Source organism: Homo sapiens, chromosome 5 (assembly GCF_000001405.40).
Source record: "Homo sapiens chromosome 5, GRCh38.p14 Primary Assembly".
NCBI classification, from domain to species: Eukaryota; Metazoa; Chordata; class Mammalia; order Primates; family Hominidae; genus Homo; species Homo sapiens.
In genome coordinates, this window is record NC_000005.10 from 80,796,511 (window position 1) to 80,821,470 (window position 24,960).

Sequence of the window (24,960 nt, forward strand, 5' to 3'; positions counted from 1 at the left end):
TGTTGAGAAAGAACTTACGTAAAATTCAATTTAAAATATTTTATGGATGTTAATTATAAAATATACCCTGAAAATAATTTCAAAGTTAAATGACATTGTTGTTTTTGATAATCATGTGGTTTTAAGAACTGGTGCTTTGTACATGTAACTATAAGTATACTTTTCTGTATTCTGTATTACATGAACTTATTATAGTGCTTCTGAATAAGCCAACTTTCTGCCCGCTTTTCCTCTCCCAGTTTTAAGAATACTTTTTAAAATACTCTTTCTTTTTGTCCCCTTCCTTGATTCACTATATAATCCAAGCATTTATACATGTGGTCACCGCTGGAGCTCCCTCCTCCACCCTGCCCACCTCCATGGATTCTCTACTCTGCAGCCACAGGGCTTCTGGAACGTGCCATGCCACTCTCCCTTTTGAATTCATACTTCACACTCCAGCCAGATTGGACTTCATGCCGTTCCCAAGTCACTGTGCCTCTGGGACTTGGCAGATGGTTTTCCCTCTGCTTAGAATGTCATCTTTCCCCACCCCACCCACTCCCGCCTCACACACTCCAACATCCACCCACCCAACACCCACCCGACTCCCCAGCTCTGGCTTGTTCAAGTCTTGCCTTGGATGTCAGCTCTTGCACTCAGCCTTCCTTTGCCCAGCTGGGATGGGTAACCCTCTCACATACCCTCGCCACTCTATTTCTCCACATCTCAGTACTTATTCCACCAAATTATAATCATTCTTTTTTTATCTGCCTTTCCCAGTGGACTGTAAGCATGAAGAGAACAGGGACTACATCTCTGTCACCTATGTGTAATCCCAGGATCAGTCACAGTTCTCTGGCACATAGCTGGCACCTAATCAGATTTAATAAATCAGTAAGGATTAGCTAGAAGCCTTCAGCAGTCTCCAAGTCTCACTTGAAATTTTTGCCTTTTATTTTCTACACAAAATGTTTTTTTTCAGGATATTATATGGGGATTGCCCCAATTTACAGAATAATTTTACTGTCAAACTAAAAGGGAAATTTGGGATCTTTTAGTGTAACCACGTCTTCATACTTCTGAGTAAACTATGGTTCAGAAAGGGGAAATGATCTGCCAGAGGTTGCTCAGGTTGGGTCGTCTTGAACTGTTTCCCAAAACATAAACATATTTTAAGGCAAGCCAGTGCTTTCCAACCTTTTTCACTTTGCATCACACAGAAAATGATAGTATTTTAATGGAACACTGGATTAAAAGGAGAAGGAAGAGGTTGCTCAGAGGCCAAGGAGGCTGGCCCAGGGACTGTGGCCGCCCCAGCCCCACCCACCACCTGTGGGTTAAGGGGTCAGTATCTTGGCACCCCTGTCACCTTGTGAGGCAGCCCAGGACTGCTGCTTAGGGAAACCCCAGCGAACCCACTGCAATCTCAACTCTCCCAGGATTGTTTGTTAAACCAAATGACTCTTTTTTTTTTAGTGGATGGATTTTCAACAGCAGTTAAAGTCGGGGTTTTCAGTTCATTTGTAGGGTTTTTGTTTTTAGTATAAAAAATATAAATTTCAACTAATGGAGGGGAGGGGAAAGAGTGGTTGACAGCTTCTCAGTTTGTTGGGTGGGAAGAAAATGAGTCAAACGTGCACAACAGGAAGATTCCCAGGAAGCACTCGAACCCTGTAGCTCTCTAGCCCAAGCAGAATTCACAGCCCAGGTGTTTTATTGCTGGGGCAGGGTAGACATTGAGATGCTAGTCACAGTCCCTTCTTGTGAGATCAAGATGGGCCTAGGGTGCTTCAGTCATTAGCTCCGCATGTGGTATGGAATGGGTGCTCACACATTTGTTACATGAACAAGTGCTTGAAGCTGGTAAAGATGAACAGATTTCCCAATTCCTTCCCTTATCTCAGTACAAATAATGTCTAGCTGGCCCAGAAATACTTGCTTTGGCTGTATAAAAGTTTAAAAGACTAGTTACAGTAATATTCATAAGCTGTTGACAATTTGTGCCTAATTACCAAGTGGAACAGTAATAATACATACCATAAAATATGTCTGAGCTTTAAGCTTAATTTAATTCCATGGCTAAATTATATTCTCACAGATTCTGCTGTAAAGGTGTTTTTCACATAGCATGATCTTTGAATCATGAGCCCATGGATTAAAATTCTAGGAAACATTAATGGCAATTGAATATTGTTTTCTTGTCAGTCCTTTCCTCTGGTTCTCCTCTCTCCTGCTTCTGAAACAATGGATAGAGAAGGACATTTGTCTGATAAAGTGTTCTGACCTGCACTGCTGTCTCTGCCCAGAATGGCCCTCCCCTCTCTTCTTATCTCTTACCTGTCTGCATTGATTGGACTCACACTGTTCCTGCAGGACCCAACAAAACACTGCCTCTTCCTGAGAGCCTTCACCATCCTCTGGCCAGAAAAAATCCCTTTCTATTCAAGCACTTTCTTTGCTCTGTTTTTAAAGCTCTCACATACTACTTTTGTTACACAAGTGTAGTGGGAAAGTGGCTCACAATGGTAGGAGATTTAAATTAAAATCCTGCTCTGCTGTCATTTCACTCTCATTTTGGATAGACCACGATTACTTGCTGGGCCTTAGTTTCCTCATCTGTAAAAGGAGGTGGTTAAGCTGGGTCACAGCCAGCCCTCACACCCAGGGGAATGTAAATTGGGCAGGATCCAGGTGTTGGAGGGATTTAAGTCCTGACTTTGGCATCTCAACATGCAGCTGGTGCCGCTCTCCAGCTTCATTTTCCCTCTTTCTGTTTCTAGTTCACCTTGGGTTAAAAGTGCAAAGATTTGGCTGAGAGCTCGTCTGGAGGAGGCTTTGACTCAAGAGTCTCTTACCATAACCTGCTGTTGATTGACATTTTCGAGGAATAAAACACTTTGAAACTACCAAACTTTTTCAGCAGTCTGCAGCTGTTATAAAAATAGTTCTCCCATAATTCTTCTTTAAAGACAGTTGTCAATATTTATACCTGTCAAGGAAGATAGCACTTTTTTTTTTTTTTTTTTTTTTTTTTTTTTTTACAGAAAATTAGCTTTTCAGGTCTTAGAAATTAACATGTGACAGTTTTATTTTATTTTTTTTCTGCTGTACATCTGCTGACTTCAGGGATATTATGACTGTCCATTATTCTAGTGTACTCAATGATGAACACATGGAGTGAAAGCATGTCTTCTCCTATTTAGTAGTGACTATGATTCCCTGTCATTGAGCAAGCGTCCCCATTGAGACATGTCAGAGGATGAACTTCACTTAACATTCCAGTTCTGCGACTTAGTTGCTGGGAAAGATATTTAGCTTTAGGCCTCTGTTTCCTCACCTGTATAATGGGAATCCAGTAATATTAGTATTACCCTGTGACATTGTTGTAAGAACTAAATGAAGTGATACATAGAAAATCATTAGCACAGTGCCTGGCACTTGTTATCTGTGATTTTCTTAAGATATCTTGAAGTTTGTCTTTTATTTTTAGATCTTCTCTTCCCCCACAGAAGTTGACATTCTATGTGGAAGTTGCTTAGTTATCACAAGTTTTGACTCACTGTTTAGATACTGGATAAACAATACTAAGATCTTATTGATTGATGCTATTCAGACAGATATTGCCAATACTAAAGGGAACACTTAATAGAATGTACTTCTAGTCTCTTCATAGGTTTGCCAAGGCAGTCCTCTCTAGTTGTTATCCAGCAACATAGTCCCTTCAGCGCAATACTTCCAGCTTTTGTTTGCTATCATTAATTAATTCATTCATCCCCCTTTAGTTTCTTGAGAACTTGCTCTGTGTGTGGCCTCCTTAGGCTTGGTGCTAGCCCAGCTTTGGGCACTGTCTAGGCCAGTCTGGTATTCCCAGTAGGCTCCAGAGTGTGTGGAGAGGTGGTTATTGCCAACTTTCAGATTCTGGCTATTTGGTTAGAACATTCACTCATGCTAACTGGTCCTGCCGATAGATTTTATGTGTCTTTTATATCTGGGAACCCTTGATGTGTGCTGCCTCAAATACGCACGATCTTTCTAAAAGAGATTAGCACATTAGATGAGTGAAATTTCTTGACCATTTCCTTACTTATTGTGTCATCTTGGGAACCGTGGAAACAAGGGGGTCATATATTCTTGACAGATTTTTATAGAGAAAGCAAATGATTGTTTTTGAAATGTAAACATGGTGGAAATCTCTGCTGTAATGCCTTTTGTGTATTACATTCATCTCTTTGATCTATTTATTGGGTGCCTTCTTTGTGCCAAGCCTTGTTCTAGGCAACGGGGATGAACTAGAAGACACAATTCCTGCTCTCATGAGAACTTACTTTCTAGAAGTGAGATTGGTAATAAATAAGCAAGAAAATTCAGGTAATTTCAGAGAAGGTTGAAAACAAAATAAAATGGGCTGATGTGATAGAGAATCACAGAGCAGAGGGGCTTCTGTAGATTGGGTGGTCAAGGAAGGTGTGTCCTGGGAGTTGATGTTTGAGTGTAGACCTGTAGAAAGGCCTTAAGGCAGGAATGAGCATGTTGTATTCTGGCAGGTGGAAGGAGAGCAGAAATCAAGTCTGGCTAGCACCAAGTGAACATGGTGGAGGGTGGTAGAAGAATGGATCGGAGGCAGACATGGCCTTTAGACTGTGACCTTTAGACACTTAGAAGTGCTCTGAGGATCTGGATGAGGGCTTTTAGCAAAAAACAAGTTCTGTTTTACTTTTTATGACAGTCACTCTGGCTGCCCTATGGAGAGTGGATTGTGGGCAGAGGAGAAGCAGGAAGACCCAGCAGGAGCCACTGCAGTCACCTGCCTGGGCAGTGGCACTGGGCATGGAGACAGGAGGTTTTATTTACCTAGAGGACCTCCTGATTCTTCAGTCTTGTGTCTTTTTTCCTGCTGGTGTTTACTAGAGTGCCTGATGTACAACTTATCTCGTGCTGGCAGTCTCTTAGGGCTTACTAAGAAAGCCACCATGTTGTCACCTACAAATATTTGAGTTTAGTGGGTTGAACACATTTAACTTCTAAAGCCTTGAAGTTAGTTCTTCTTTGACATCCTCAAATCCTGGGGCAGGGGTGGTGGGGGCTGGAAAAAATCTGTCTCTACAACAGTATCCCCAAGTCTGCCCAGGTTCACCATGCACCACTTTTCCCAGGTACTTCATGCAAACGAATTCCACAACTTCTCATCTTCCAAGCAAATCTGGCACAGAGCTCTGGTGCCAATTTAATTCCTGCTCTTTCATTCCACCCAGGGCCACATATTCAAGCAATGTACCTGAATTTAGGATGAGAGATCTTATTTAATTCAACTCCCTGATTTTAGAGGGGAGGAAACTGAAGCCTAGAGAGGTGTATTGGCTTGTCCAGAGTCCACACTAGAAACCACCTTTCTTTTGTGGGCCAATTCTTTATTCATGTTTATACTTTTATTTTCACACTCTGTTATTTTCTTGCTTATCAAGGCTCTCATAGAAATTGACGCCACAGTGAAAATTTTTGTATAATACTTGACATAGTATGCATTCAATGAACAAATGGTTGTTAGTACTCTCATTGCTGTAGAATCCATTTACAAATAAGTGTTAGATTAAGATTTGAAATATAAAGAAAGGGAGGAAATTGCTCCTTAATTCCAAAGATAGCCACTGTTAACATTTTGGAATGTTTCCTTTGTCTTTCTTTGTAATTTTTTTTAAGAAATAGCCATTTTTTATATAAAAATTTTTATATCCTGCTCTTTTAGTTAATATTATAACATGAATATTTTCCTATATTCTTAAAAAGTCTTAAGATAACTTTTAATGGCTTCATGGTTTTCAACAATATGGATATACCATAATTGCCTTAATATTTTCTCTGTTGTATCTACTCTTTGCTGTCATGAATAATCCTGCCATGGTACCTCACAGAATTGATTCTTTAAAAAAACAAAACAAAAATTGGGGGCACATAGTAGGTGTGTATATTTATGGATTACATGAGATATTTTGATACAGACACCGAATGTGTAATAATGTTACCCTCACATGAGGGTAACTGGGGTATCCATCACCTCAGGCATTTATCCTTTCTTTATGTTACAAACAATCCAGTTATACTCTTAGTTATTTTTAAATGTACAATAAATTTTGTTGACTATAGTGACCATGTTGTCCTATCAAATACTAGATCTTATTCATTGTATGTAACTATATGTTTGTACCCAAGGACCATTCACCTTCTTCACCCCTACTACCCTTCCCAGCCTCTGGTAACCATCCTTCTGCTCTTTATCTCCATGAGTTTAATTGTTTTAATTTTCAGTTCCCACAAAGAAGTGAGAACATGCAAAGTTTATCACTTTGTGGCTGGCTTATTTCACTTAACATAATATCCTCCAGTTCCATCCATGTTGTTGCAAATGACAGGATCTTATTCTTTTTTTATGGCTGAATAGTACTCCATTGTGTAGTGTACCACATTTTCTTTGTCCATTCATCTGTTGATGGACACTTAGTTTGCTTCCAGATCTTGGCTATTGTGAATAGTGCTGCAATAAACATGGGAGTGCAGCTGTCTCTTCAATATACTGATTTCCTTTCTTTTGGGCATATATATATATACCTAGCAGTGGGATTGCTAGATCATGTGTTAGTTCTATTTTTACTTTTCTGAGGACCTTTAACTCTTATCCATAACAGTTGTACTAACTTACGTTCCTACCAGTAGTGTACAAGAGTTACCTTTTCTCCACATCCTCACCAACATTTGTTATTGCATGTCTTTTGAATATGTCATTTTGACTGGGGTGAGATGATATCTCATTGTAATTTCGATTTGCATTTCTCTGATGATCAATCATGTTGCACCTGTTCATATGCCTGTTGTTTGTATGCCTTCGTTTGAGAAATGTCTATTAAGATCTTTTGCCCATTTTTAAATTTTTTTTCAGTTTTTTTCCTGTTGAGTTCTTTGAGCTCCTTGTATAGTCTGGTTAGCGTTCCTTTATCAGATGGATGGTTTGCAAATATTTTCTCCCATTCTGTGGGTTGTCTCTTCACTTTGTTGATTGTTTCTTTTGCTGTGCAGATTTTTATTTAATAACTTGATGTGATCCCATTTGTCCATTTTTGCTTTCGTTGCCTGTGTTTGTGGGGTATTTCTCAAGAAGTTATTGCCCAGACCAGTGTTCTGAAGATTTTCCCCAATGTTTTCTTCTAGTAGTTTCATAGTTTGAGGTTTTAGATTTAAGTCTCTAATCCATTTTGATTTGATTTTTTTACAAGGTGAGAGGTAGGAGTCCAGTTTCATTCTTCTGCATATGGGGGTATTGAAGAGACTGTCTTTTCCCCAGCATATGTTCTTGGCACCTTTGTCAAAAATGAGTGCACTGTAGGTGTGTGAATTTGTTTCTGGGTTCTCTATTCTGTTTCATTGGTCTCTGTGTCTGTTTTTATGCCAGTACCATGCTGTTTTGGTTATATAGCTCTGTAGTATAACTTGAAGTCAGATAATGTGATTCCACCAGTTTTGTTCTTTTTGCTTAAGATGGCTTTGGCTATTCAGATCCTTTTGTGTTTCCATATAAATTTTAGGATTATTTTTTCTATTTCTGTGAAGAACGTCATTGGTCTTTTAATAGGGATTGCATTGAATCTACAGATTGCTTTAGTTACTATGGACACTTAAACAATATTTATTCTTCCAGTCCATGCATGTGGAATATCTTTCCCTTTTTGTGTGTCCTCTTTAATTTTTTGCATTAGTTTATGTAGAGCCCTGGGACCTTGAATGAACATAGGTTGTAGTCAGACAGTGGTCACCATGGGCCTTGGGTGAGACCCAGTGTTGTGATGGCTTCAGGTCTGACCCAGTGAGCATTGAAGAATTAGGTATTTATTGTAGCCTTCACAGTCTAGCTTGTTTGTACTTGTTCTTGGGAAGGCTTTCCAAGTATTCAAAGGGACTTGAGTGTTCTGATCTAAATCTGTGGTCACTGCAGCTATGTCTGCATTAGGGGGCACCCCAAGTCCAGTAATACTGTAGCTCTTGTAGACTCTTTGAGTTACCACCTTGGTGGTCTTGCATAATATTCTGGAAAATTCCCTGGATTTCTAGGCAGAGACTCTTGTTGTCCTCCTTTACTTTCCCCCAAACAAACGGAGCCTGTCTCTGCTGAGCCACCTAGAGCTGAGGGAGGGGTGACTCAAGCACCTCTGTGACCACCACCACTGGGACTGCACTGGGTCTGACCTGAAGCCAGCAGAATACTGGGTCTTACCCAAGGCCCGTGGTAACCACTGTCTGACTACCATCTATGTTCACTCAAGGTCCTAGGGTCTACAGTCAGCAGGTGGCAAATCCAGCCTGAAGGGCTATCATTGTTTATACCACCATGCCTGGCAATAGTGAATGATACTCTGGGAGGGAAGTAATTAATTTGACCTTAATGATATGTATATGATTAGGCAGCCTTGTTCTTTGTTAGCCTTCAACAATAGGGATCTTTTTGGTCACTGTCACAGGAGTGAAGACAGAATGACTTACCTTGTAATGTTTGTTTTCTGATACATTGGGCCAAAAGACCCACAGGAATCCACCCGTCATCTCCAGAAAGTGAAGTTTTTATTTGAAGTTTGTTCTAGTGTAACAACTTTCATCACATTTCATGTTTCAATAGATGCCAAAGCAAAGCACTGAGTGTGTTGGTATTTCTGTTGCCTGCTTCAGCAGTGTCTGGCTCTCAAAGTTGTAGCCTTGCTACCTAACCTGAGACCAAAATAGCCAAGAGCGTTAAAACTGGTATGTGGGTTGGGAAACAAACATAGTGATCAGGCAAGCCATTTTAGAAGGGGTGGTGGAAAAAACTTCTCCATACACTTAAGTCTTCTTAATATTATTTTTTACTTTTCAAGCATCTAAATTTCCCCTAATGCACACAATTAAATACTGAAATATACATTAGAATTTATTCATTAGAAAATTTGAGATACTCTACACTTTAAATTGAACTTGTACCGTAGAACTTTTAAATGATTAGGAATGTATGTTTTATAGTTAAAAGAGATTACTTAGAGTAATTTTTTGTCTTCACTTTCAATATGATGCCCCCCCCCCCTACCTTTTTTTTTTTTTTTTTTTGAGATGGAGTCTTACTCTATTGCCCAGGCTGGAGTACAGTGTCTCAATCTTGGCTCAATGCAACCTCTGCCTCCAGGGTTCAGGCGATTCTCCTGCCTCAGCCTCCTGAGTAGCTGGAACTACAGGCATGCGCCACCACGAGCTCATTATTGTATTTTTAATAGAGATGGGGTTTCACCATGTTGCCCTGGCTGGTCTCAAACTCCTCAAGTAATCTGCCCACCTTGGCCTCCCAAACTGCTGGGATTACAGGCGTGGGACACCGCACCCGGCCCCAATATGATGCCTTTTGATGACAAAAAAAGCCTTAACTTTAATGAAGTTGAAGGTATCAGTCCTTCTTTTTATGGGTGAATGCTTTTGTGCCTTAAATAGGAAATTATTTCAATCCCTGAGGTCTTAAACATATTCTCCTATAATTTTTTATAAACATTTTAAAGTTTAATTTTCAAATTTCAGTCATTAATCAATCTACTCAGAATTTATTTATTTACTTATCTTTTGAGACGGAGTTTCACTCTTGTTGCCCAGGCTGGAGTGCAATGGCGCGATCTCGGCTCACAGCAACCTCCGCCTCCCAGGTTCAAGTGATTCTCCTGCCTCAGCCTCCCAAGTAGCTGGGATTACTGGCATGTGCCACCACACCTGGCTAATTTTGTATTTTTGGTAGAGACGGGGTTTCTCCATGTTGATAGGCTGCTCTCGAACTCCTGACCTCAGATGATCTGCCCGCCTCGGCCTCCCAAAGTGCTGGGATTACATGCGTGAGCCACTGTGCCTGGCCCAGAATTTATTTTTATACATGATATGAGTTAGGAATCTAATTTCATATCTTTCTATATGGATAATCAATTGTTTTGTACCAGTTTTCAAATCATCCTTTTCCCATCAGTTTATGGAATTATTTATCATATATTAAGTTTCCACATTTTTATGGGGCTGTTCTGAACTCTTATTTTTCACTGGTCAGTGTTTGTGTGCAAGCCAGAATCACACAAGCTTATTTGCTATAGCATTATAATAACTTTTTACATCTGTAGGGAAAGTTCTCCCCTCCTATTCTCCTAATAGAATTCCTAATTTCTATTTAGCTTTTGCTCCTCTCTCTATTTTAGAGTCAACTTACTCAGTTAATTGGGGGAAAAAAATTGAGATTTGTATTGGAATTGCATTGACCCTATAGATCAATTTGGGGAGGAGTTGACATCTTTATGATACATATGTGAACATATGAATATGTCCCTCCATGAAACCAGTAGATACAGTCAGTCCTCACTTGACATTATCAATACGTTCTTGGAAACTGCTGGCTGGGTATGGAGGCTTACATCTGTAATCCCAGGACATTGGGAGGCTGAAGTGAGAGGATCACTTGAGCCCAGGAGTTCAAGACCAGCCTGGGATGGGGAGACCTCATCTCTACAAAAAAATTACCTGGATGTGATGGCACCCACCCATGGTCCCAACTACTCTGGAGACTGTGGCAGGAAGATCTCTTGAGCCCAGAAGGTTGAGGCACAGTGAGTCATGTTTGCACCACTGCACTCTAGCCCAGGTGACAGAGCAATACCCTGTCTCAAAAAAAAAAAAAAAAAAAAAGGAAAAGGAAATAACTGCAACTTTAAGTGAAATGACATATAATGAAACCAATTTTACCATAGGCTAATGGATATAAACAAAGTTAAATTCCTATGTCATATTTCTGGCCACAGAAAACATCATCAAACTTCTAAATAAAGACCCAACACACTTCTAATATTAAACATTGAAAAAAGTATGAACTATGTGTTTAAGAAAGATTAATAAAAACAAATAAGATTATTGGATACACAATTTTTGGTAAATCAGGGAGTGACAGAGGTCATAGTGATGGTGGGTTAAATCAAGGAATAAATGTTTCCATAGTGAAAATTGTGAGAAGTACCTCCTACTACCATGCAGCTCAAAAACGAGTAATACGTGCGGCAGATTTGTTTATCACTTTTGTGTTACATCAGTTTATTGTCATGCATTTGTATGATTATCACCTGCCTTATGAATTTTTACTTGACAATCATTTGTATTCACTCATTTTCCAACCCACTTATTCCATTTTGGAGTCATGGGTAGCCAGAGCCTATCCTGGCAGTGCAGGGCACCAGGCAGGAACCAGCCCTGGACAGGATGCCATCCCATCACAGGGCACACTAACAGATACCCACCTCAGACCGGGGCTATTACACCAATGAACCTAACTTGTACATCTTTGGCATGTGGGAGGAAACTGGAATACCCAGAGAAAATCCACACAGGCATAGGGAGAATGTGCAAACACAGTGGCCAGGCTGGGAATTTTTTTTCCCTTATCAATTTTGTAATGAAATGACATTATTTGAGGACCTGCTGTATTTTTATTTTGGTTTTAAGTCCTTTCAATAAATTTTAAAAGTGTTCTCTATAAAGGGTTTTTACATCTTTTATTAGATTAATTACTAAGTACTTTTTGTTAGTATATAGGTCATATCTTTTTTACAATAGTCTTCTAATTATTTGTTGCTCTTACAGAAAAATGCAACTGAGTTTGCATCTTGATCTTAAATCTAGCCATTTTGCTAGAGATCCTCTCATTAATTATAATACTTTGTATAGAGATTCCTTTTGGTTTTCCTTGTGGACAGCTATGTGATCTGCCAATGACAGTTTTGTTTTGTCCTTTCTCATCCTAATGCCTTTTTATTGTTATGTTTTTCTATCTGGGACCTCCAGGAAAATGTGGATATCGTGTCTTGATTGACCTAAGGAAAGGCTTCTACCATTTCACCATTAAGCCTGTGTTTGCTGCAGGATTTTGGTAGCTAGCCTTGACCTGGTTGAAGAAGTTGTCTAAGGGTCATTTTGTTCTCTCACTCACTCACCACTTAGTGGTGGATGGTGTCGGGAAGAAACCTGTTTCCCAGCTAAATAAACATGGTTTAAATATTAGAGCTGTGAAGTCTAAATTTTTATATGATATTTTTTCTATATATACAAAGAATTGATTTTTGTATATCAATTACCTCTGAAATCCTGAAGTTCAAATAAACTAAAAACTTCATCATTCCCTATTAAATTCAGGAGAAATGAAATGCTCAAAGAACATATACATGATTGTATAGTTTTAAAAGCCAGCAGTTTCTGTGTAGTTCAATATAAAAAATGTTATTCCTTTTGAAAATATTGGAAAGGGAAAGTGTCAGACTTACTTACTTTGGGTAATATATCTTCTTCATATATATATATATATATATATATACACAATCTAAATTCGAAGAGAGCAATATTTCTATTCATGTAAATGCCATACACATTTTACTCATCAAGGCCTTCAAATAAGTTTCACATCTGACTTTTACATTAGGCCTAAGCCAAATGTATTTTCATTTGTTTTAGTTCATTTCTTCTGTTTCAGTTAATTAGTTTATAGGGCATTGGGACTTCATGTGGCTGCTTTGGGCATCTTTTATTTTTAAGAATTTATGATTTATAAAAATTATAGCATTTATAGTTTCAAAGGAATTTCATATATATTTTCTTAATTGTTTTAAACTTTACAAAATGCACGTAAGGCTAGGATTTCTGTTATTTTTAAATTTTACAGATGAGAAAATGAAATGTATTTAGCCAATGGCTAAGCCAGAAATGGAACCTCAGTCTTCTAACTCTAAATGGTATTATAATATGCTTTACCACTACAAATCTTATTAAATTATTTTAGTTTACCAAGTTAATACTTTTAAAGAATACACTGTCAAATTATTGATTCTTATTGTGTGAAAAAGCCAAATTGAACAATAAGTATAAATACTCTTATCTTTCAAGGTATTGGAAGGCATAGGTTTCTACAAAATAAAAAGTGTATATTTTTTCTTTTTTTCTCATATCTTTCTAAACTACCGATTTAAAAACATTTCTATTTCTGCATTTCCATTGGTCCCTCTCATGTGCTTGTTGAATTTGGTAATCCCATTTGAGACAGCTCCTTTAACAATGCTGTCACAGTTCAGGGAGCCTTGGCATGACACACGTAACCCTTCTGTGCGGTATTCTCTCTGGCATTGCATTCTTACATTACATTCTCTCTGGCATTACATTCTTTCACTTTCCATTTTGTACTTTTCTCTATTGCTTTATTTGTATGTAATGTTCTGAAGTCCAAATAACAAAATGTCATTTGGAAGTTATGTGAATTATTCCTAAATTACATAAATGTGTTTGTAAGGAGTTATTGAATTGTTTGTGATGGTGATCCATGAAATAACTAAGAAAATTTATTTGATTTTTTATGATTTCAGCCAATGAAAAAGTATATAAAACAGTATAACAGACACCTATTTACCCATCACACAAATGTCGTAGAGATTGACGTTTTGTAATATTTAGGAGTTTTTTAAGTAAATAAAAAATTGCAGATACAGCTAAGGTCATACGTAATTAACTGCTATTCCTTTTTCTCCATCTTCATCTCCTAACCTACATGGTAACCATTATCCTGATGTTATTTATTATCCTTATGCATGGTTTTTATTCTTTTGTTTGACATACATATATATATATATATATATATAAACTAGTAGCATATAATCATGTTTTGTGTATTTTAAAAAAGGTACATTAATGTCTCACTGAGCTTATCTTAGTATTCTGCATTGTAAATAATTGTTTTAACAATTGTACAAGTAGATCTATTTATTTTCCTCACATTAGACAATTAGATTATCTCTATTTTTGTCAGTTATGAATACATACAAACAATATTACAGTGAACAGTTTTATACATGCCTTTTTGAGCACTTGTATGTTTCTTGGGTAGATGCTTAAAAGAGGAATTGCTGGGTCATCTAGACCAATATACACAATCTTTAACTTTGCTAGGCGTTTCCATATTGCTCTCCATATCTTGACAGCATACTGTGTTGAAAAGACTGTCCTTTGTCTACTGTGCTGCAGTGTCACCTTTGTCATAAATCAAGGAACTGTATACATGTCAATCTGTTTCTGTGCTTTCCATTCCACTGGTTAGATATGTATGTCATTGTGCCAAATCACACTACTGTAATTACTGTAGCATTATAATACTGAGTCATCCAGTTCATGAACATGGTATATTCCTTCATTTAATTAGGTCTTCTTTAATTTCTTTCAATAATGTTGTGTAGTTTTCTGTGTAGAGACTTGCTCATTTTGTTAGATTTATTCCTAGGTATTTGATTTCTTTTGATACTATGGTAAATTGTATCATTAACAATGTTTTATTTTGAATTACAGGTTGGGCATTCCTAATCTGAAAATCTAAAATCTGAAATGCTCCAATGAGCATTTCTTTTGAGCATCATATTGTTGCTCAAAAAGCTTTGGATTTCAGAGCATTTTAGATTTTATTTGTAATGCAAATATTTCAAGATAAAAAAAAAATTGAAATTGGAAACACTTCTGTCCCCAAGCGTTTTGGATAAGTGATACTCAACCTGTATTTGTTGCTAAAATATAGGGGAAAAGTTGATTTTTGAATACTGAAGTTGTATCCAAAATTCAATTTTTATAGATTTCCTTGGATTTTCTGGGAGCACAATCATGACATATAGGAATAATGAGTTTTATTATTTACTTTCTAGCCCTTATACCTTTTATTTTTATTTCCCTCTCCTGCCCATTTGTTTCACAAGTGAATGTTGAATTTTATCAAATACTTTCTCTGTGTTATTGGAGATAATTGTATGGTTTCTTTATTCTGTTAATGTGGTGAATTACATTGATTGGCTTTTGATTATTAAACCAACTTTGTATTCCTCAAAAGCTCTAAATGGTTTGTATAACCTTGGATTGACTTATTAATAGTTTATTAAGAAGTTTTGCATGTATATTTATGGGTGAAATTGGTCTGTAATTTTTCTTGTAATGTTCTTTTCAGGTTTGATAAGATATCCAAATCTGAAATTATTTGGGAAAAATTCTTGTTTTGTTCTCTGGAAGAATTTTTGTAATATTCGTGCTATTTCTTTCTTAAATGTTTGCAAGAATTCAGTAGGGATGTTCTCTGCATTTAGAGTTTTTCTTGTGGAAGGGCTTTTACAAATGTAATAAATATAGGATTGTTAGATTTTCTATTTCTTGTGTCGTTTTGTGATTTTTAAAAAAGGAGATAGACATATTAAAAAAGAGATTAAAAAGAGATTAAAGAGATTAAAAAGAGATATAAAATATTTGATCATGCCAATATTTGATTGTTTTATGACAGGCTTATTTTTTAATCTCTGTAGAATTCATTTTATTTTTATCATTATTTTTATCATTGTTTTATGACACGCTTATTTTTTACTCTCTGTAAAATTCATTTTATTTTTATCATTAGTTTTATCATTCTGCTTATACCAAACTACTTTCCAGGTTCTTATTGTGTTAAGCTCTTTCTGTCACAAGAAACACAGGTATACTCAAGTTCCTTCAAGTAATGGAGATATATTAGGTGCAATATAAAGCCATATGGAGCCTTAAGAGAAAGGAATTACACAGGAAGAGCAGGATCTCTAGCACAGTTTGGCATTAGGGAGACTGGAAATGTGTGGCTAATTAGAATATGATACAGCTTTAGGGATGGAACAGGTTTTCTTTTTATCCCCCATTAGTAACATGTTATAAGGCTTTACTTTGATACCCAGTTGTTTGTGTGAAGTTTCTCACTTCCTTTTGGCTTTTGTCTATCTTTTCTTCCTTTCATTACTAATTACCCTCTTTACCCCTGGTCTAAATAATTTTTCATCATACCTTTTATTTTCTCATAACTACTTACTTATGATCCCCAGTGCCTTGTGGCCTGGTTCTGTGATTCTTTTTAGCCTCTCTTCAAGTTACCAAGTAATTGAACCTCACTGGTTCTCAGTTAACTCCCAAAAGATTATTTGATTGGCCTAGTTTGAGAAGCTTTTATGCTAGCTAGGCCCATTGGCTGGTTCTGGCTTTTTTTTTTTTTTTTTGAGATGGAGTCTCACTCTCACCCATGCTGGAATGCAGTGGTGCTGTCTTGGCTCACTGCAACCTCCACCTGCTGGATTCAAGTGATTCTCATGTCTCAGCCTCCCGAGAACTGGCATCATCACACCCAGCTAATTTTTGTATAGTTGGGGTTTTGCCATGTTGGCCAGCCTGGTCTTGAACTCCTGGCCTCAAGCGATCCACCTCCTTGGCCTCCCAAAGTGCTGAGATTACAGGTGTGAGCCACCGCGCCTGGCCAGCTTGGCTACTCTTGACCAGGGAGCTATTGCCAAAATGTGGGATTCACATAGCCCAGAGCATGGATGCCCTGGGCTAACTCCTCTGCCAAGGGCTGTAGTTGGACAGTTTCCCTTAGCAGGGGTGTGTACCTGGAAAATACTATAATTGATCAGTACAGATAAGTCCTAGAAAATTAAGTTGTTGCAAGAGTTACAATTCTGCCTCGTTCACATGCTGTGGTGAATGCTAGTAAATAATTAAATGCTGGTAAACCAATGTCTAGAATTTGATGTTATATCTTTTAGTAGTCATCTACCTATAACTGAAAAATTGCTGCCAAAAATTACATGTGCTGCCAACCCCAAATAGGGCCATGGGCAAATAGATATGTAATACCTGTTGTTTTAAGATGGACAAATGGAAATTGATAGTCTTTAAACATAAGCAATAGGGAGAATATGCACATAGGCAGATTAAAAAATGCTTAATGAGAAAGCCATAGCAGTTATCCACTTCTGGTCTTATTTCCTTTTTAATACCCAGGAATAGCTGTGTGTACTGCTAAGAATTCACTTTTCTGCAGTATCACACAGTTCAGGTTGAAGACAGAGGACCGCTTTCCTTTTGTGATATTTATGCTACAAAGTAATGTTTTGCCTAATGCATTTCCACTTATGAGATAAATTGTGGATATTATCAAAAACTTTTCTGGTACAATAAGTGAAATTCCTTTCTAATTTTCAGGAGGACTCAGAGAGAGTAATGATAATTACCGGACCAAACATGGGTGGAAAGAGCTCCTACATAAAACAAGTTGCATTGATTACCATCATGGCTCAGATTGGCTCCTATGTTCCTGCAGAAGAAGCGACAATTGGGATTGTGGATGGCATTTTCACAAGGTAAGTACGTTAATTCAGCTTGCATATATTCTTGAAAATAAGTCAAGCCCACATTATCGCATGAATTTTCCTTTTGTGTACATATTTAGATGCTCTTAAAGCACTCAACATTTAGGAGCTTAAATAAATTATTTCAAGGCCGGGCACGGTGGCTCACACCTGTGATCCCAGCACTTTGGGAGACCAAGGCAGGAGGATCACTTGAGTCTAGGAGTTTGAGAGCAGCCTGGGCAACATGGCAAAACCCCATCTTGACAAAAAATGAAAAAATTAGCCAGGAACCTGAGGTGGGAGGATCACCTGAGCCTGGGGAGGTTAAGGCAACAGTGAGCCGAGGTCACACCATTGCACTCCAGCCTGGGCAACAAAGTGAGACCCTGTCTCAAAGAAAAAAAAAAAAACAAAAACAAAAACAGAAAAAAAACCCACGTTATTTTTATTATGACTGTTAATACTAGAAAAGACTTAAGAGTTAATTTTGTCCAATAGCTTCCAAATTATTTTTAATTATTGAGTTATTTTATTTTATTTATTATTATTATTATTTGAGATGGAGTTTTGCTCTCGTTTCCTAGGCCAGAGTGCAATGGCACTATCTCAGCTCACTGCAACCTTTGCCTCCCCAGTTCAAGCTATTCTCCTGCCTCAGCCTCCTGAATAGCTGGGATTACAGGTGCCTGCCACCACGCCCAGCTGATTTTTGTATTTTTAGTAGAGACAGGGTTTTGCCATGTTGGCCAGGCTAGTCTTGACTCCTGACCCCAAGTGAGCCGCCCGCCTTGGCCTCTCCAAGTGCTGGGATTATAGGCGTGAGCCACCACACCCAGCTGAGTTCTTATTTTGAAGAAAATCTTTTGTAGAAAATCAATATTTAAGCAGATAAAAACAGATCTGCTCTGTCTTCTGGGGTAGAAGGCTTGGAGACTTGGCTGTTAGGCTCTGTAGAGCACAGTCTGAAAACTTGTCCATCCTCCCCATTTTAGGTGCAGACCTGAAACAAACTGCAAAAGGCATTGGACCAAGATCATTTTGTTGATATCCCTTTTTACTCTATGAACATTACATGCAACTGACTAAGTCTTACCCTCAATGTGTAAACCTAAATTTTATGCCGTGTTAGGAATATGAGTGAAATATCCTGGCTTCACTAAGGAGAATTCGTAGTTTAATCTGTTTAACACCTTCTGATTTATCAGTTCTTAAAGCATCGTGTATATTTCTTACATGTACATTTCTAAAAAGTAAATACAGTCTCTGTGCATAGTCAAGCTTTGTGTATAGAGTGTCTTGAGTTGTTGTCCAGCTACGTATTTATATAATATTTGACTGTGGAATCACATCAGAATATATCACATGCTAATATTGATATTCTTGAGTAGACACTAAAATGCTTTAAAGCTTCATTTTTCATCTGAGAATGAACAAAGTACCCTGAATTCTGTTTGATGCCATGTCACCAAATAGGTGTTATTCTGATCCCCATATATGTTTAAATTAACTCAAAATAAGAAATTTAAAGAGTCTTTCTTTAGTTCTTAAGACTTAATTGATTTTCTATTTTATAAGAAAAACAAACCAGGTATTTTATTTTGGTTACAGTATTAAGGAAAGTAGCAGAGATATTTAGTAAAGAAAAAAAAAAGAGAAAAAAGAAAAAAATTATTGGTCAATATAAGGGGATTTGCCTGGAAGGAAATCTTGTTACTGAGCCGAATAGCAAGAATGTTTGTAGATACAAGTAAAATAAAAGAAGGGTTTATTTTTGTCATATAAGGAGAAGGCTGGAGGTGGGTAGCTACTTCTGGTGTTTCAGTGGCTCTGCCATTTCACTGGCCTTTCCCTCAGAGTTGTAAGATTGCTGCTGCAGCTCCAGGCATCACATTCCTATTCACATGAGGTAAAAAGGAGAAGGGACTGCCATAGCTCCCCCACACCCTTTTTTTAAAAAATTTTTTTAGGACATAGTAGGTTTTTAGGATCCTCCCAGAAAACTTACCTTTCACTGACCAGAACTGTGTCTCATGGCCATAGTTGCAAGGAAAACAGAAAATAAGAAGGTAGTTTTTGTCCAGCTTTTAAATAGAGTTAAGCACAGTAATTGGGAATACAATCAGTGGTAATCAGAAAATAGTTTCTGTCACAGGGTGTGGAATCAGTAATAATAGTAACAGCCAACCTTTATGATATATTTACAATATTAGTGTAATATTCTTATCAAGGTACAGGCACTGTTATGTGCACCTTATATAGAGTACTTTATGTAAGTACATTCAATGAGTACATGTCTAAGCCTTCTAAACCATGCTGATTTCAAGAAATTGGAGTATTTATCCATTCATTTTCATTTATTCATTCATCCAACATGTACTAAGTGAATACCTAACATATGGCAGGCACTGAGAATACAAAGGAACCACAGTTTTTGATTTCATGAAAGCTATGTAGTGGAGAAAATCAGCATTAACCAAATAATCACATACAGAAATGTGAAACTGCAGCTATGACAAGTCAATGAAGGCTATATGCAAGATGTTAGGACAGGCTGTGATCCTGATATGATCTGGTCAGGAAGGTCAGGGGAAGGCTTCCCTTAGCAAGTAACTTTTGAGTGCCTATCTGAAGGATGAGTGTAAGAAGGAAGGAAGTATATTTCAGAGAGAGCATGTGCAAAAGTCCTTTAGCATAAAAAACATAGACAATGAGTGAAGGGTGGTCCTCCAGGAGAGCAAGATTCTAGGTGAAGCATAGCCATGTCATTTTAGGAGTTTATCCTAAGAGCCATGGTAAACTATTGAAGAATTTTAACCAGGGTTTGGCATGATTATGTCTGCATTGGTTACACTGTAAAGAATGTCTGGAGAAAAAACCAAGTAGATCAGAGGAACCCAAAGAGCAGGCTCTTTTGGTGGTCTTGGTGAAAGGATCAGTAAGTAGCTTGGATTAAGTTTGTAGTGCTAGTTTAAGTGGAAAGGAGTCATATTTGAAATATATTTGGGAAATAAATCACCAGGACTTGGCGATAGATAGGGGTATGGCAGCTGAGATAAATGGAGTTGTCAGAGATGACATTGAGTTTGTGCATCTGAATGGTGAATGGTGACATTTACTAGAAGAGGATGTTTTTTCATAGATTCCGACGTTATCTTTGTGTATAATAAGTAGAATTATTCTGAGACATTCAAAGGGAGCTATCATATAGTAGGCAGTGGATATAAAGTTTAGATTTCAGACAGAGAGATCAAAGGTAAAGATGTAAATTTGTTGTGAGACATTTTTGTGTACGTGATTGGGTGTGGATGAGATCATCTTGACAGACAGTATGGTGGAGAAGATTAATGTTCTGAGACTGAACCTTAAAACTGCCAAGATTTCATAGTTGAGTAAGAAGTTAAGGTTGAAAACCAACAAAGGAGGTGTAGCCAGAGAGGCAGGAGAGAAAAACAGGACATTACAGTGTCATGGGAGCGAGGGGAAAGAGTGCTTCAAGAAGAAAAGTAGTGGTCAACAGTGCTGAAAGGTCAGGTGAGTTGAAGCCTGAAAAGTCACCTTTGGTCTTAGCAAAATAGCTGTCACTAATGACCTTAGCAGGAGCTGCTTTCGTGGAGTGGTGGGGCCACACTGCAGTTAAAAGAGGGCTAAAGAGTGAGTTAGAGGTCAGGAAGTAGAGGGGGTTAGTACAGGTGATACTGCAAAGGTTGGCCAGGAAGAAGACAGGAGAGATCCAGTGAGGGACTTGTTTTTTGTTTTTAAATGGTAGACTTGAACGTACTTCAATGGGATATCCAGTGGGATATGTTATTTCCAAGAATTTATTATTCTAAAAATAAATAAATTAATTAATTAATCACCTTTGGAGGATCCTAGAATGAATCCTAATGATACTTAAAATCAAAATATCATTAGTCACATGGAGGTTGAAAACTGAAAAATAAAGATCCAAGCAGGTATCCTATCTTTTCAAATAGGTAACGGGGAAGTTTCTCTTTATAGAAATGTTCCAGCCAATAAACCAAGCAGGAATGACAAGAATTAGAGTATCACCCTTTTTGCAACCCCTGATGTAATAACAGATTTAAGTAATAATCAGAAATGGCTGCTAATGTCACCAAAGCAGAGACAACCAGACATTAGGTAAAAGTTTGTGACAACTTATGATGTCTTCTGGCCAAAAAAAATCAAACTGAATAGTCGGGCATGGTGGCTCATGCTTGTAATCCCAGCACTTTGGGAGGCCAAGGTGGGTGGATCACCTGAGGTCAGGAGTTCAAGACCAGCCTGGCCAACAATGGCCAACGTGGTGAAACCCGTCTCTACTAAAAATATAAAAAATAGCCAGGTGTGGTGGCAAGCACCTGTAATCCCAGCTACTTCAGAGGCTGAGGCAGGAGAATTGCTTGAACTGGGGAGGTGGAGGTTGTAGTGAGACAAGATCACGCCACTGCACTCCAGCCTGGGCAACAGAGGAAGACTCCATCTAAAAAGAAAATCAAACTGAAACTGTTCAGACCTCTAGATCTAGATACCAATTTACAAGAGAAAAAGAGAATAGAGGAACATGTTAAACACCACCATAGGGGTACTGTCAGCAAAATCTAGACTGTGGGAAACTATAGGACAAATGACTGGTGTTTTTTTTTTTTTAACAAATAAATAGCAATGACAAAAAAAAAAAAAAAAAAAAGGTGGGGGAGAGAGGGAAGAGAACCTGCATATTAAAAGAGAGTTAAAGACCAGTCACCCAGTTCCAACATACAGATCTTAATTCAATCCTGACTCAAACACATAAACCTTTTTTTTTAAAGCACTAGTGAAACATTTAAAAATTTTTGAGCACTGACAGGGTATCTAATGATACTGAAGAATTACTTAAAAAAATGTTTAAGTGAGATAAACAGTGCAATGCAATGGTTATGATTTAATAGAAAAATCCTTACTTTAGTGATACATGCTAAAATGTTTACATATTAAATGATTTGCTACCCAAGATATACATCACAATAATCAAGGATGGATAGGGAAATTTGGTAGGATAGAGATGAAATGAGATTGGCCATGAATTGATCATTGTTTGAGCTTGATAATGGCTACATTGGAGTTGCATTATGCATTTTTCTTTATTGTACATCTTTGGATTTTTTTATAAGTTTTTTTGTTATTGTTCTGGGATTTAGCCATTTGAGAAAGAGATAAGATCCCTCGTGTAGGATAGGCATTGTTTCAAACTGTGCGTATGAAATCAGTGCATTGAATTGCAATTAGCATTTTGGGGTAATACTTCCTAGATAGTGCTTTGTGTTCCACATCATGGCATATCAGGGTGCAACCAATGTCCAGTTGACCCAAATAAGCTTTTTTTTTTTAATGCAGTAGAATGGAGTAGAAGAAAAAGTATCAAAATCATTAATTTATAGCATGTGGCACAGAGGTGGAGTTATGCAATAAGAAGGCCATTACATTTCTGTGTCATCAGTAATGACATAGAAATTATAATGTTATTAGGAGATGTTAACATTGGCCCAATAATGAGATTTAAACTCTGTTGTGCTAAAAACATATGTATATATAGGACAAGTCACCCAGTTCCCCATATATGTGTGTGTGTGTATATATATGTATATATATGTGTGTATATATATGTGTATATATGTATATATGTGTATATATGTGTGTATATATGTATATATGTGTGTGTATATATATGTATATGTGTGTGTGTGTGTGTGTGTATATATATATATAATTTTTTTTTTTTTTGAGACGGAGTTTCGCTCCTGTCGCCCAAGCTGGAGTGCAATGACACGATCCCAGGATCCCAGCTCACTGCAACCTCCGCCTCCTGGATTCAAGCTATTTTCCTGCCTCAGCCTCCTGAGTAGCTGGGATTACAGGTGCCCACCACCACACCCAGCTAATTTTTGTATTTTTAGTAGAGAGGGGGTTTCGCCATGTTGGCCAGGCTGGTTTCAAACTCCTGACCTCAGGTGATCCGCCCGCCTTGACCTCCCAAAGCACTGGGATTACAGGTGTGAGCCACTGCGCCCGGCCAAAAACATATTTTTATTAAAACCTTAGTGCACTGTAGTTTTATGCTAGACGTTAGGGATACAAACCTGAATAAGATAATTTACCTGTCTTTAAGGCCATAGGGCCTGTGTCCCTGCATATTCTTACTGAGTATGCCAAGAAAGCCCCTGTCTTTAAGGAGCTCAAGTGCAGTAAGGGAGATGGAGAAGCAAATCTTTACAATTCGGTAAGACCATGCAATGCTAGAGAAGTGTATGTGTATACGTGTTTATTTGCTTGCTCATTCCTTCATTCATGTTTTTCCTGTCATCTTCCAGAAAGGAATGAGACAGCTTGCAGAAAATTCAAAATAGCTTAAGTGAATAAATAAGGATGAGGGCTTAAAATGGAGCCATGACTGAGGCTTAAAACATCAATGCCCAATACTGCTGTGGATAAGCCATAAATCTGGTTCAAAGGTTTCCACAAAGCTAAATTTGTTCAGTTAAATAGTTCACAGTGCCCAGAAAGCCAAATGAATTAATTAGTTAAGAAGGCAACTTAAAACAAATTTTTATTGTGTTTGACAGCAATCTTTTAGTAATAAAATCAGCTAGAAGAATATATTGGGTAGTATCACACAGACTAGGTTTTATTGGGTCCCATTGGTTACAGTTTAGGAAACAAATGTTTGATTATATTATTCTTGGATCACAGGCTCCACTGAGACAGAAATTGTGCTTGTTCTGCACACCTTTTATCCCCTATTCCTAGTACTAAGTAGATGTGCAGTAAATATTTGTTTAAAAACTGACAATAAAAACTGTAATATAAATAAGATGTGTTGACATAACTCTGTTTCTTAGTCCAAATTTCTGGAATCTGAAGGAAACATCCCCTTGTGATTCAAACACCATCTAAAATAGTATATTGGAGCTTAACTAAGTTTTGCCACAGGACTCAAAAAGTCATCAAATTTCTATGTAAGTTTCGGTCTTATAAAGAAAACACTTAAGTTTAGGTATGTGGCAGGATAAATTATTAATACACAGGAAAGAGCAAAAGTTCCAGTGTCATGGAGATTAGTCTGTCCTGACAACACTCTGTGTACCAGTGCACCTTTGTGATGCTGAGTAAGAGGAGATTTGCACTTCACGAAGGTCCAGGTTAAGCTTAGTTGCTCAGTCTGGACTCTGGTCCCTAAAGTGGGAAGTCTCAGGCAAATCTGAGTATCAGACCATGCCGGCAATTCAGCTCTCTTCACCTGCTTCTCTCTCTGCAAGATGGGATAATCATGATACTTATATTTCAGGGTGTTGTCATGTAGTTTAAATAATGCATATAAAACAATCTAGTACCTGACATATAGTAGTTCCTTGGTAATATTAGTTACAATTTTAAGTCCCATCTCTATGACACTTTGACCATTTCATTCCACAATGATCTGTTCACGGTAAACTCCTAATGCCCTATTTATTTGGACTCAGTTATTTCAGTGTCTTATTTCAGTATCTATCTTAGTTCATAACTGGTTATCCTATGCCATCATGCTATTTGTTCACTATTTGAGGGAAAGAACTCTACTCCATTGTGTATTCCCTGCCCCACTCAGGATGGCAGTAAGTACAGCTACTAATATAAATTAAAGTCATTCAGAAATGAAATTATTTTCACATTTATATTACATTGTTTTCACTTCATCCTGGAAGTTATCATTAGTCTGAAA

At 37.6% G+C, this 24,960-nt stretch overlaps 1 protein-coding gene across 1 annotated transcript in view; it reads left to right on the top strand.

The window, feature by feature from the left end:
- Nucleotides 1-24,960, top strand: part of MSH3 (mutS homolog 3) — a 222,164-nt gene that overhangs the window by 141,859 nt on the left and 55,345 nt on the right. Inside the window, exon 20 of the mRNA NM_002439.5 lies at nucleotides 17,074-17,231. Coding sequence (NP_002430.3) covers nucleotides 17,074-17,231 — 158 coding nt within the window. The remainder of the gene's footprint in view (nucleotides 1-17,073; nucleotides 17,232-24,960) is intronic.